This window comes from Homo sapiens, chromosome 22, assembly GCF_000001405.40.
Source record: "Homo sapiens chromosome 22, GRCh38.p14 Primary Assembly".
NCBI classification, from domain to species: domain Eukaryota; kingdom Metazoa; phylum Chordata; class Mammalia; order Primates; family Hominidae; genus Homo; species Homo sapiens.
In genome coordinates this window covers 27,818,973-27,832,994 of record NC_000022.11, presented here as the reverse complement: position 1 = coordinate 27,832,994, position 14,022 = coordinate 27,818,973, and the positions used below count along the sequence as shown (strand labels likewise).

Here is a 14,022-nt window from a genome sequence, read left to right as displayed (position 1 = left end):
ATGTCTTCTACTTTTCTTCAAAGAAGGGGCTGTTTACCTGGCCTTGATGCTCTAGAATTCTCCACAGACCCCAGAGCCTGGAGCCCAGGGATGTACTGTGGTCATGAGGCCGTCACCTATTGCAAAGTTATAATTGCCAGGTCAGATTTAATAGCATCCTGGAGAGCAGATCGCCACGCCGGGTGGCTCCACACATCACTCTGTTGGCTCGCCTGGCAGGGTTGCCCTGGTGGGTGCAAGGGGTCTTTGTTCCCGAGATTCATGCAAAGGTCAGGCTGTGGTAGCATGAATGTTTCCAGGCAATTCTTGTCTATCGGGGAGGCATCTCTGGCCATGTCTCCTTCTTGGTCTGTGATAGGGAGAATTGAGACCAAGTCTCCAAGTGGGGACAATGAGGGCACAGGGACGGTCATCGAGAAGAAGACAAGGCTCTCGGGGCAAGGGTTTTGCCTTCAGCTCTCAGAAGGGCTGCAGAACTTGCAGGCCCAGGTAGGGGATGACAAACAGGATCATAAAGGGGCTCAGAGTCAACTGCCAGGTTTGTCCCAGCAGCCACTATGTGCAAATGGCTTCAGTTCTCTGGGCGTCAATTTCCTCCTCTCTAAAATGGGAATAATGGTACATAGAAAATGAGGAGATACAATTGTAAATAAGCTTTTTAAAACAGCCTAAGGTGCAGCCACTCTGACCGCACAGCTATTTCCTCTCCTGCTTATTTCCACCCCCTCCTGTCTGTGCACATTCAGCTTACGTGGCTGCAGGCACAATGTGCATTCTGCTTTTCTTAACTTTCTGTTAGATTGCAATTCCTCATGTTTCTACATGCTTCTCAGAGTTCACGTTTTTAATGGTTGCTAGGTTGTCCATTGTGGTGGTGTCTCAGGAGTAACACACACTCTTTCTCTGTCTCTGTCTCTCTGTCTCTCTCTCTCTCTCTCTCTCTCACACACACACACACACACACACACACAGAGAGAAAGAGAGAGAGAGAGAGAGAATCTTTGCCATCTGTGAGGCATTCAGATCACTGCTAGATTTCTACCATGACAGACAACACTAGAATGAACACCTTCCTATTGATTACTTGTTTTTACTGCTTTTGAATTATCTCGTGGGGATAAATTCCAAAGCCAGAGTTCCCTGGATGCTGCTCCATAATTTTGCCATTTGGGGTCAAGAGCGGCATTTCCAGCAGGCTGTTCAACAAAGGGGCAGGCTGCCTTGGGTGGCAGTGAGCCTCCCATGCCCGGAGGTGTGCAAGACAATTGGGGCGGCAATCCATTGATCTGACAACTATTTGTTGGGTCTCACAGTGTACCAGGCAGGGTTAGGGGCTGGGGAAGCTCAAGACTGGTGACTCCCTGGCTCATGCTGTGAGGACCGCACTCCATGCAGCCACGGCTCTGCATGTCTGGATGAATAGTGCCTGGGCAAGGACTATGGTATCCCATGCTTCAGGAACCTCAGCTCCATCAGCCTCTGGCTCTGTCTTCCCCTGGTGACCTTGCAATTCAGAGAGGCCATTGCGTGAGATATGATTGTTCCATTCAATCCTGACTTTAGACCAGAGATTACTCGAGGGTTCTCCCCTTTTAATATTTACCTGTAGAATTTATTCCTCCTGTCTAATTGCTGGGTACTCTGATCAACATTTCCTCATTCCCCCATGCCCCACCCCCAGCCTCTGGTAACCAGTCTCCTACTTTCTGCTTCTGTGAGTTTGACTTTTTTAGATTCCACATATATGTGAGATCACGCCGTACTTATCTTTCTGTGTCTGGCTTATTCACTTAGCATAATGTCCTCTAGGTTCATCCATGTTGTCGCAAACGACAGGGTTTCTGTCTTTTATAATGCTGAATAATATTCCCTTGTGTGTGTATATACATGCATGTAATTTTTGTTTGTCAATTAAATATAAAGGCCAGGTGCGGTGGCTCACACCTGTAATCTCAACACTTCAGGAGGCTGAGGTGGGAGGATTGCTTGAGCCTAGAGTTCAAGACCAGCCTGGGCAACATAGCAAAAAAAATAAAAAATTAGCCAGGTCCGTGGTGACACCCACCTGTGGTCCCAGCTACTCTGCAGGCTGAGGTGGGAAGACTGCTTGAGCTCGGGAGTTTGAGGCTGCCGTGAGCCATGATTGCACCAGTGCACTCCAGCCTGGGTGACAGAGTGAGACCCTAGCTCAATCATTCAATCAATCAAAAGAAATTAATGCATAAAAAAAAATACACACTGGGCACGGTGGCTCACGCCTGTAATCCCAGCATTTTGGGAGGCCGAGGAGGGTGGATCACGAGGTCAGGAGTTCGAGACCAGCCTGATCAACATGGTGAAACCCCGTCTCTACTAAAAATACAAAAATTAGCCAGGCGTGGTGGTGTGTGCCTGTAGTCTGAGTTACTCGGGAAGCTGAGACAGGAGAATCGCTTGAACCTGGGAGGTGGAGGTTGCAGTGAGCTGAGATGGCGCCACTGCACTCCAGCCTGGGCGACAGAACAAGACTTCATCTCAAAAAAAAAAAAAATTGCAGTTATTAAAGATCACAATGGGGCTTTTGAGATAGCAGCTGTGGAAGTTACTTCTTAAGTTTCTGAGAATCGCTGAGCAGCTTCTGTGGTCAGTCCAGGGTGTGTGCAGAAATCCCACCCTGCAGGGGCTCCCATCACAAACTGCTGGCCTTAGTGGTTGTCTGAAGGAAGTTTGAGACCTGATGCCGTTGGGTCGCTGTGTGTCCTTCTGCCACTCACTTCATTGTTCTCTTTCCACTTCAGGCAGGTGGTGATAATCCTTGGGTTCCAGCCCAAGCTGGGGCACTTCGCTCTCTCCCCTACATGGTCCATGATCAAGGTTCCTGGGGACAGACTCCAGATTTTCCTTTGGGGCCCAGCACCCGCTCTCCCATCCCAGACTGCAGATTTGGGATAGGGCTGATCTCACGCCCTAACTCTAGGGGTGGGCCTTGATGCAGACCTGGCCGACAAGATACCACTGTAATTGGCTGGGGGATGGGCCCATCAGAGCCAGCAAGTGCCAGCTCTAAGACTTTGGCTGAAAGTTCTATGCAAGAGGGATTTTCTCTCTGGTGGGGTTGCTAAGCCACAGGAGGCAAGCCTTGAGCTTCCGGAGACTATCTTGTCATCACAGAGGGAGGGCCTGTCTGGAAAGAAGCCAGAACATAGCCAAGACATGGAGAGAGGCTGGTTTCTAAATTGAGCACCTGAATCCAGCCATACCTGAAGCAGGAGTCAATTATATGAGTCAATGAATTTCCATTTGGTGTCAGCCAGTTTGCGCTGGGTTTCTGTCACTCCTGACTATTCTATTGCCTCCACTCATACTCCTGTGCAACATAACTGCTGCATAAGAGCTGGAATCATCTTTCCACAACACAAATTTGACCTTGTCACAACTGTTTAAAGCCGTGCGAGGCTCCCCAGTCCCCTCAGGATAAAGCCTGAACTCCTTAGCCTGGTGTTCAAGCCCCAGATCTGTCAATGGCAGCCTCCTTTCCCACTTTGTCCATCAAGGACATTATATTTAGCTATACACTCCCCTGTCACTACACCTTTGTGCCCTTCCTCATGCTGTTCCCTCAGCTCAAATGCCTGCCCCCATTGAACTTCACCTTCCATGCTCAGTTCCAAGGTAATTTCCAATGGAGCTGGGTTGGGTTTTGCACATTGAAATTACTTGCTCATAGAACTACCAGGAGTGTGCATTATAAATGCAGTTCCCCCCAACTACTGGGCTGGATTCTCTGGGGTGGGGGCCAGGAATGTTTTTTTTTTTTTTTTGAGACAGAGTCTCACTCTGTTGCCCAGGCTGGAGTGCAGTGGCATGATTTTGGCTCACTGCAAAATCTGCATCCTGGGTTCAAACGATTCTCCCACCTCAGCCTCTCGAGTAGCTTTGATTATAGGTGCCCACCACCAGGCCCGGCTAATTTTTGTAGTTTTAGCAGAGACAAGGTTTCACCATGTTGGCCAAGCTGGTCTTGAACTCCTGACCTCAGGTTATCCATCTGCCTCAGCCTCCCAAAGTGCTGGGATTACAGGTGTGAACAACTGTTCCCTGCCGAATCTCTGATTTTAATAAGACCCCTGAGCATCTTCCTGTCTCCCCCACTGCCCCATGTGTTTTCCTCCTCTGAGCCTCATTTGTCTGTAAAATGGATATGAGAAATCTACCTGGAAAGGCAGCTGGGGGGATGAAGTGCGACAATGTATATAAGCCTGTCGAGGGACACTTAATCAGGGCTCCAGAGTGATTATGATGGTCATTAGGGTTATGCTGTCTTGCAGGGCAACTCATTGTCCCCATTTGCCCAGGACAGAGGGGTTTCTTTGAATGTGAGACTTTCAGTTTTGAAACTGGGAAAGGTCTCAGGTGAACCAGGATGAGTTGGTTACCCTGCATCCCCTTCTTTCTTTTCCCTGGGACAAAGATCTTGCTTGCCTGCCCTGACCCCACTGTTCAGTAGGAATCACTAAATCTGGCACCACAACGGAAAGGCAGGGAACTCCAGGAACAAAAGGACCAACCAGTTTTGAAAATACTAAGGACTGGCGTTTTCCTTCCAGCAGTGACGTGGTCTGTATGTTAACCTTGTCCCACGGCACAGGTCACGTTGTGACACTCCACGACCTCTCAGCCCCACCCATGTGCGTGGTGGGGCCAAGAAAGCCATGTTGGCCACAGTCTGGCTTGTGTTTTCTCAGTTCTGGACACTCCAGACTATACATCTGAATATTCCTTTTGGTAGAGTCTAGGAGATTTTATTTATTTATTTTTTTTCTGCACTGAGTTCCTGGATTTATTTTGAGCCGAACGGCTCCTCACCCAAACTCCCCTGCCTCCTTTCAAAACCCAAGGCCACGTCCAACCTCACAGGCCCAAACCACGCTTACATAACCCGCAGTGACACTAAGTGTTTGTGAGGCCTGCTGAAGTGGGGCTGGGGCTGCCTGCTCTGGAGCACAGGGGACATTTTGTCCTGCAAAATGATGCTGTTTGGGGCGTGTGCGTGAGCGCGTGTTTTTCCCCTCCTGAAGTTCAAAAACAACTCCTTTTGCTCAAACTGTCAAAAAAGAGAAGAAGAAGAAAAAAAAGAAGAAGAAAGTCTGCAATAATTTCAGTGTTGGGCCCAGATCAAGAATTGCAAACACTAAGATAATATTTTCCAAAGTTACCAGGCGAGTAGGAGTCGCCGAGTTACGGGAAATTGGAGGCTGACCTGGTGTAACTTCCAGGGGCCCCGTCTCCTGGCTGCTTCCTCAACGGTGGTGGGCTTTTTCCTGTGATCATTACAGCTCACCGTGATCTTGTCCTTACTACATGCCAGGTTCCAGGTGAGACACTTCTCTCCTTTATCATATTTCTTCCTCACAAACGGGTCCTCTTATTATCCCCATTTTGCAGAGGAGAAAAATCAAGTTCAGAGAAATGGAAGACCCTAGTTCAAGGTCAGTGTACTGATTACTGGAGAGTAGCGATTTGAATCGAGGTCAGCCTGACTCCAAAATATAGACCACCACTGCATGATGTCAGATGAAGTACCTACTGTGTGCAGATAGATGCATGTTCAGTTTTCATGGGGCTTTCTTGATGAATATCTAGCCAAGACTCAGCTTCCATACTTCTTTTATATTTTTTATTTTTTGAGATTCAGTGTCCTTCAGTTATCCAGGCTGGAATGCAGTGGTGAAATCATGGCTTACTGCAGTCTCGACCTCCTAGGTTCAAGCAATCCTCCCACCTCAGCTTCCTCAGTAATTGGGACTACAGGCACATGCCACCATGCCTGGCTAATTTTTTTTTTTTTTTTGTAGAGATGGAGTTTCACCATGTTGTCCATGCTGGTCTTGAACTCCTGGGCTCAAGCCATCCACCCACCTTCCAAAGTGGAATTACAGGCATGAACCACGGCACCTGGCCAGCTTCCATACTTCTAGCCAGTCCTCCAAAAGGTGGCATTTGGTGGTTTTTTTTTTTTTTTTTTTTTTTTTTTGATGGAGTCTCACTCTGTCGCCTAGGCTGGAAGTGCAGTGGCATGATCTTGGCTCACTGCAACCTCCACCTCCCAGGTTCAAGCAATTCTCCTGTCTCAGCCTCCCAAGTAGCTGGGACTACAGGCACCCGCCACCATGCCTGGCTAATTTTTATATTTTTAGTAGAGACGGGATTTCACTATGTTGGCCAGGCTGGTCTCGATCTCCTGACCTTGTGATCCACCCGCCTCGGCCTCCCAAAGTGCTGGGATTACAGGCATGAGCCACCACACCCGGCCAGTATTTGGTGTTTTTGGGGTGGGGAGAGTTCTGTTCGAGAGGCTGGCACCTGCAGCCACACTGTGTTTACCAATGGGCCTGTGGTGAATGCTCCTATAACCTGGTTCTCTGATGGAGAAATCTGAGGGATGGGATAATTTCAGTGTTGGCCCCAGATCAAGAATTGCAAACACTTAACTCAGAGCCTGCGTCCATGAAACAGTTCAAAGAGAGAAAGGAGCTGCCAGTTGGCTGAACACCTTCTATATGCATGATGGACCTTATCTGATTTAATCCTTACAAAAACCTCTGAAGCCAGGTGCTGCCATGTATACCCACTGTAGAGCCAGGGAACCTGGACTCTGAGAGGGAATGGGATTGCCCAAGGTCACACAGCTTGGAGACAGTGGAGTGGAGATGGAACCCACATTCACCCGATTCAATCAATGTGTCCCAAATACTCATGCTGCTAGGTGAGGCCTCTGACAATGTGGAGGTGAATGAGACACACTCCTAGTCCTTAAGGTGTCTGGCTGGGGAGATAGGCCAGAGACCTTGCAAAGTGACAGTGCTGGAATGGAGCAGCTTGCGGGTCCGAGGGAGCAGTGAGGGAAGGTTTCTTAGAGGTGGTGATTACACCAAGAAATACCAGCCTAGAAGGTTCATGATGGCAGAGGCTGCATTTATCCTGTTCACCACGGTTGCCCAGCATTGAGACATTGTAGGCACTCAAAATGTATGCGTTGAATCACTGAACAAGTAGGCAAGGTAAGAGAAAGTGGTTGTGGTAGACAGAATAATAGCCACCAAAGATATCCTCCTCCTCATCCCCAGGACCTGTGACTATGTTACCTTACAGGGCAAAAGGGACTTTGCAGATGAGATTAGGGTTAAGGAGTCTTGAGATGGGGAGATTATCCTGGATTATCTGGGTGGGCACAATCTAACCATCTAGGTCCTTAAAAGCAGAGAGCTTTTCCTGACCACGCTGAGAGGGAGGTGTGACTACGGAAGAATGGCTGGAGAGAGGCAACGCTGCTTGGCTTTGAAGATGGAAGGAGAAAGCCAGGAGCTAAGGAATGCAGTAACCTCCAGGATCTGGAAGAGGCAAGAGGACAGGAGCTCCTCTAGAGTCTCTGGAAAGGAGCACAGCCCCAGCACCTCGATTTTAGCCCAGTCTGACCCATGGCTGCCTTCAGACCTCCGGAACTGTCAATTCATAAATTGGTTTTGTTTTAAGCCTTATAAGTTTGTGGTAATTTGTTACAGCAGCATTAGGAAACTAATACAGTGGAAGACAGTTCCAGGCAGAGGGAACAGCATGTGCAAAGGCCTGGAGGTAAGAACATGGCCTGCGCAGCAGAGTGCCAGCAGGGGGCGCCAAGGCTGGTGTGCCTGCTCCTGCTTCCTGCTCTCTCTTAACAAGACACATTGGCAATGAGATAGGTCCAGGTTCACCAACATCAGTAGACATCTGAAGGCTCCCCGTCCCCCTCCATGTGCACACCCAGGGGGCGTCCTCTGGAAAGCCAGCTAGGGAAGCCACATTGGCAGGTCACACTGGGAGAAGAACCCCTGCTCATCTCTGGCCTGCCTTCTTTCCAGGGATTTTATGAGACAACGCGGGGTAGGGCCCTTTGGGAAAGGGAGGAAAGCTTGACCAATGGAAGGGATGTTTAGCTGTCAGAATGGAGCCCAAGGGTTCTGAGTTAGGCCGTTCTTGCATTGCTATAAAGAAATACCTGGCTGGGTGTGGTGGCTCACACCTGTAATCCTAGCACTTTGGGAGGCCAAAGTGGGCAGATCACTTGAGGCCAGGAGTTTGAGACCAGCCTGGGAAACATGGCAAAACCCTGTCTCTACAAAGAAATACAAAAAATTAGCTGGTGTGGTGGTACACATCTGTAGTCCCAGCTACTCAGGAGGCTGAGGTGGGAGGATCACCTGAGCCTGGGAGATGGAGGTTGCAGTAGGCTGAGATGGCACCACTGCATTCCAGGCTGGGTGAAAGAGTGAAACCTCATCTAAAAAAAAAAGAAATCCCTAAAACTAGGTGATTTACAAGAAAATAGGTTTAATTGTCTCACAGTTATACAGGCTATATAGCAAACATAGATAGCTCCAGCATCTGCTTCTGGGGAGGTCTCTGGAAGCTTCCAATCATGGCAGAAGGCCAAGCGGGAACTTGTACCTCCATCACATGATGAGAACAGGAGCAAGAGAGAAGGGTTGGGGAGGTGCCATGCTTTACAACAACCAGCTCTCAAGAGAACTCACTCACTATCGTGAGAACAGCACCAAGCCATGAGGGATCCTCTACTATGACCCAAACACCTCCCACCAGGCCCCATCTCCGACACTGAGGATTACAATTCAACATAAGATTCGAGTGGGGACAGATATCCAAAACTACATCATGCTCTATTCTTATGTGCTCTCATAATCGTGGTACTATTCCTTTACGATTCTAACCTCGTTGTAGCACTTTATGGTGTGCCCTGTAGTCTCCCGCATGAGCCTCCCCTGAGCCTGTGAGGTCTGCAGAGCCAAAGGCAATAGTCCCAGGACACAGAGGATAATAGTGTTCAGAGAGGTGCGCTGACCTGCCTGAGGGTGCCCAGCACGGTGTGCAGAGATCAACTGGGGGACCTGTGTCTTCTGATGATTTCTTTCCTGCTCCCACACCACCTCTTGAGAGGTGAGTGACATGCAGTTTTTAAAAACTGTACATAACATAAAATTATCATTTTAACTATTTTTTTTTTTTTAGACAGAGTCTCGCTTTGTCACCCAGGCTGGAGTGCAGTGGCACAATCTTGGCTTACTGCAACCTCCGCTTCCCAGGTTCAAGCAATCCTTCTGCCTCAGCCTCCAGAGTAGTTGAGACCACAGGCATGTGCACCACCATGCCTGGCTCATTTTGGTATTTTTAAGTAGAGATGGGGTTTTATTGTGTTGGCCAGGCTGGTCTCAAACTTCTGACCTCAAGTGATCTGCCCTCCTCAGCCTCCCAAAGTTCTGGGATTACAGGCATGAGCCACTGTGCCCTGTCATTTTAACCATTTTAAATGGTACAATTCAGTGGCATTAAGTACATTCACAGTGTTATGCAAACAGGACTTCTAAATAGTTCCAGGGCATCTTCACACCAAAAAACAAAAACAAAAAAAAAAAAACCCTCCATATCCATTAAGCGGTCAGTACCTATTCCCCTGCCCAACCCACCCCCAGGCCCTGACAACCACTCATTTACTTTCTGTGTTTCTGGATGTGCCTAATCTGGACACTTCCTATAAATAGCATCATATAACCAATGACTTTTTGTGTCTGGCTTCTTTCACTTAGCACAGTGTTGTCAAGTTTCATCCATGACATAGCATGCATCAAGACTTCATTCCTTTTCATGGCTGAATAATATTCTGTTGCATAGATACATGTACCACATTTTTTTCATTCATTCATCAGCTGATGGACATTTAGATGGTGTCCACCTTTTGCCTATTATGAATAATGCTGCTATAAACAGGTGTGCTCAAGTTTTGTTTGAAGACCTGTTTTCAGTTCTTTTGGGTTTATTATACCTAGGAGTGGAATTGCTGGGGCCTATGGGTAATTCTAAGTTTAACTTATTGATAAACCTGAATTAACTTTTAACTTGCCCTTGGTCACAGTTTGTGAAAATTAAGATAGAGCTGGCGTTTCTGACTTGAGCCTGAGTTCATTGCCACAGTGCTCTCCTGGTTCTGAGGGGTACGGAACTGCCTGCCCAGGTTAGGCCCCCACACAGCTCTGAAGAGTCATCACTGTCACTTATTAAAAACTGAAGTTTATGGCACAGTCTGGGACTAATGGAGTTGCCCAGAGGAGGTGAGAATAGTAGGTGGACCAGCCTCGGCAACATGGTGAAACTGTCTCTACAAAAAATACAAAAATTAGGGCCGGGCTCAGTGAATCATACCTGTAATCCCAGCACTCTGGGAGGCGGAGGTGGGTGGGTCACCTGAGGTCAGGAGTTCGTGACCAGCCTGGCCAACATGGTGAAACCCCGTCCCTACTAAAAAATACCTTAAAAGGCTGGGCGCAGTGGCTTATGCCTCTAATCTCAGCATTCTGGGAGGCCGAGGTGGGCGGATCACGAGGTCAAGAGATTGAGACCAGTGTGGCCAACATAGTGAAACCCTGTCTCTACTGAAAATACAAAATTTAGCCAGGTGTGGTAGCATGCGCCTGTAGTCACAGGTGTGTGGGAGGCTGAGACAGGACAATCACTTGAACCCGGGAGGCAGAGGTTGCAGTGAGCCGAGACCACCCCATTGCACTCCAGCCTGGGTGACAGAGTGAGACTCCATCTCAAAAACAAACAAACAAACAAAAATTAAAACAAAAAACAAAAAACAAAAAAAATTAGCCAGGTGTGGTGGCCACCTATAATCCCAGCTATTCAGGAGGCTGAGGCAGGAGAATCACTTGAACCCAGGAGGTGGAGGTTGCAGTGAGCCAAGATTGTGCCACTGCACTCCAGCCTGGGTGACAGAGTGAGACTCCATCTCAAAATAAATAAATAAAATAATAATAAATTTAAAAAATACAAAAATTAGCTGGGTGTGTTGATGTGTGCCTATAGTCCCAGCTACTCGAGAGGCTGAGGTGGGAGGATTGGTGGAGCTTGGGACGTTGAGGCTGCAGTGAGCCATGATTGTGACCACTGCACTCAGCCCAGGTAACAGAGAAGTAGGTGGAGAGATGTGTTGGAGGAGGCCTTCTTGTGTGAACTTGAAGGAACAGGATGTGAGGGGACCAGGTGCCCGTCGGATGCCCTCCTGGGTGCCTGATGGGACAGAGTTCAGAGGTGAGGATGTGTTCCGTGCCTGTGGCCATCAACAGCATGAAGAGGGCACAGGGGCTGTGTGGAGGATCCAACAAACCTTGTTCAAGGCCAGCTGTGACGTGCGCCAACACTTCCCTAGACCCCAGATTTTCCATCTGTAGAATGGGACTGCTCATCTGAATCTCTCTAAGTGCCGAGGTTTGGCGGTCACATGCACAAATGCACAAGTGGGCCGGCGTCTGGCCTTGCAGACTCCATAAATGGCTGCTGGCATTGTTGTTACGATGAGTGTTAGGGTTATTTGGCCTCGGAAACTTCCCTGCCCAGGTCCAGGGCCCAAGCTGGCTCTGAGGAATCTTGCTCTCGATAAGAAAGCAGGAGGGCAGATTCCATTTAAATGATCACCCCCAGTTTGAAACATGTCCTTAAACAATTTCTGAACTGTTTCACAGTGTGAGTTCACCCGCACTGCTAATATCTTCAGGGATTTAAAAAACATATTTGCAACAAAGAGGCCTTTGTCTGCTGGCCCGGGCAGGCTGGCAGGGATGTTACACGAAACCAGATCGGCAGACGTTGGCCACAAACCTGCCGCATTGTGTCCCAGTGGCGACAGTGGTGATGGTGGGCTGGATTAAATCGGGCCTTTTGTCCTGGAGGGAATTGCCACCAGCCACATGACATGGGGTGGTGGGGGTGGGGGAGGAAGGCTTAACTCTGCAGGTCCGGAGTCTGGCAACCCCCCTTCCCTAATATTTCCCAGCCTTGGTGATCTCATCACAGTAGCCTGGAGAGGGGGCACTAGCACCGTCCTCAATTTCCAGACGTGGAGCAGGGAGCAGGGGATGGACTGAGTCAAGGTCACCCAGCACATGAGTGGCACTGTTAGGATTTGAGTTTGGATCTGAATGTAAGCCCTGTGCTCCCCTGTGGGACCAGGCATTGGGTTTCAGGTCCAATTATTCTGCAAACATATGTTGAGTATCTATCACGTGTCACCCCTCTGCAGGCACTGGGGATCCAGTAATGAATAAAGTGAAGACATGGGTTCATTCATTCATTCATTCACTCATTCATTCATCCAATATTGGTTGAGGTGAGTAGGAGAACTGATAGAGAAGCTGTCCAGCAGGTACCACACCGTGTAATCCACCTGCCTCACGCATGCTGTATCACACAGACCCAGGGCTCAGAAAGATGACCAGGTTTCTAGCTTTTTTTCCTGTCTTTTTCTCAGTGCGCAGGGCCATGCCAGGCACATAGTAGGTGCTCCAAAAAAAAAAAAAAAAAAAAGATATTTACACGCAGGTCCACAGCAGCATTATTCACAATAGGCAAAAGGTGGTTCGAGACCATCCTGGCTAACACGGTGAAACCCTGTCTCTACTAAAAATACAAAAAATTAGCCAGGCGTGGTGGCAGGCACCTGTAGTCTCAGCTACTCAGGAGGCTGAGGCAGGAGAATGGTGTGAACCTGGGAGGCGGAGCTTGCAGTGAGCCGAGATTGTGCCACTGCACTCCAGCCTGGATGACAGAGCGAGATTCCGTCTCAAAAAAAAAGGTAGAAACTACCCAAATGTCCATTGATGTGGATAAACAGAACATGGTATATCCATACAATGGAGTATTATTCAGCCCTAAAAAGGAATGAAATACCGAGACATGCTGCAACATGGATGGACCTTGGAAACATTCTGCTAAGTGAAAGCAGCCAGCCACAAAAGGCCACATAGTTACATGGTTCCATTTATATGAAGTGTCTAGAATAGGCAACTCCATAGAGACAGAGAGTGGATTGGTGGTTGCCTGGGGCTGGGGGAGGGGTGAATGGGGAGTGACTGCTTAATGGGTGTAGGGTTTCCTTTTGGGGTGATTAAAATGTTTGGAACTAGATCGAAGTGGTGGTTGTACAACATTGTGAAGGCACTAATTGCTGCTGAATTGTTCACTTTTATTTAGCATTCAATTTTATTTAGATTTATTTAGTTTATTTTTGTTTATTTCTTTTTTGAGACAGAGCCTCTGTCACCCAGGCTGGAGTGCAATTGTGTGATCTCAGCTCACTGCAACCTCCTCCTTCTGGGTCCAAGCGATTCTCCTGCCTCAACCTTCTGAGTAGCTGAGATTACAGGTGTGCACCACCACGCCTGGGTAATTTTTTTGTATTTAGTAGAGATGGGGTTTCACCATGTTGGCCAGGCTGGTCTCAAATTCGTGACCTCGAATGATCTGCCCACCTCTGTCTCCCAAAGTGCTGGGATTACAGGCAAAAGCCACCATGCGCGGCTGAATTGTTCACTTTTAAATGGTCAATTTTACATCCTGTGAGTTTCGCTTCCGTAAAACAAACAAACAAACAAACAAACAAAAAACCATGACTTGAAGGCCGAGGTGGGAGGACAGCTTGAGCCCAGGAATTTCAGACCAGCCTGGGCAATATAATGAGACCTCATCTCTGCAAAATTTTTTTTTAAAAATTAGCTGGGCATGGTGGCGTGTGGCTGTAGTCTGGCCACTTGAGAGGCTGAGGTGGGAGGATCGCTTGAGCCTGGCAGGGTGAGGCTGCAGTGAGCTGTGATTGCACCATTGTGCTCTAGCCTGGGTGACAGGGCAAGACTCTGTCTCTAAAAAAAATAAATTAGAAAACCCAAAATGTGACTTTTCACAGTGACTCCAGGGATAGGATTTCAGCTGTTCCCTCTTACAGATGAGGAAGTAAAGGCTCCAAGAGGGTGCTGGCCTTGCTGAGTGCCGGGATGGACCATGATCCTCTGGCAGTCTGGGCCTGTCTTCTGCAGACCCCTCTGCAGCAGCCTTGACATTGCGCTGTGCGCTTCTGTCAAACCCTCTGCAGGCTTCCCCCAGCGGCCCAAGGTCAAGGTGAGTATGGGGTTCTGTCAGGAATTTGTCTTAGCAGTGAGG

At 48.5% G+C, this 14,022-nt stretch overlaps 1 long non-coding RNA gene across 1 annotated transcript, besides 1 other annotated feature; it reads left to right on the top strand.

Moving 5' to 3' along the window:
• Positions 1–2,541: 2,541 nt before the first annotated feature.
• On the top strand, positions 2,542–7,517 carry LOC107985529 (uncharacterized). The gene is made up of 2 exons (XR_001755624.2): positions 2,542–5,354; positions 7,242–7,517. It is a non-coding gene; the product is annotated as an uncharacterized LOC107985529 (long non-coding RNA).
• Positions 11,233–11,732: an enhancer, noted in NCBI's record as "H3K4me1 hESC enhancer chr22:28217251-28217750 (GRCh37/hg19 assembly coordinates)". NCBI's record gives its function as "activates a minimal SCP1, AML or CMV promoter by ChIP-STARR-seq in naive and primed H9 embryonic stem cells {active_cell/tissue: H9 hESC(naive and primed)}" and the evidence as "EXISTENCE:reporter gene assay evidence [ECO:0000049][PMID:30033119]".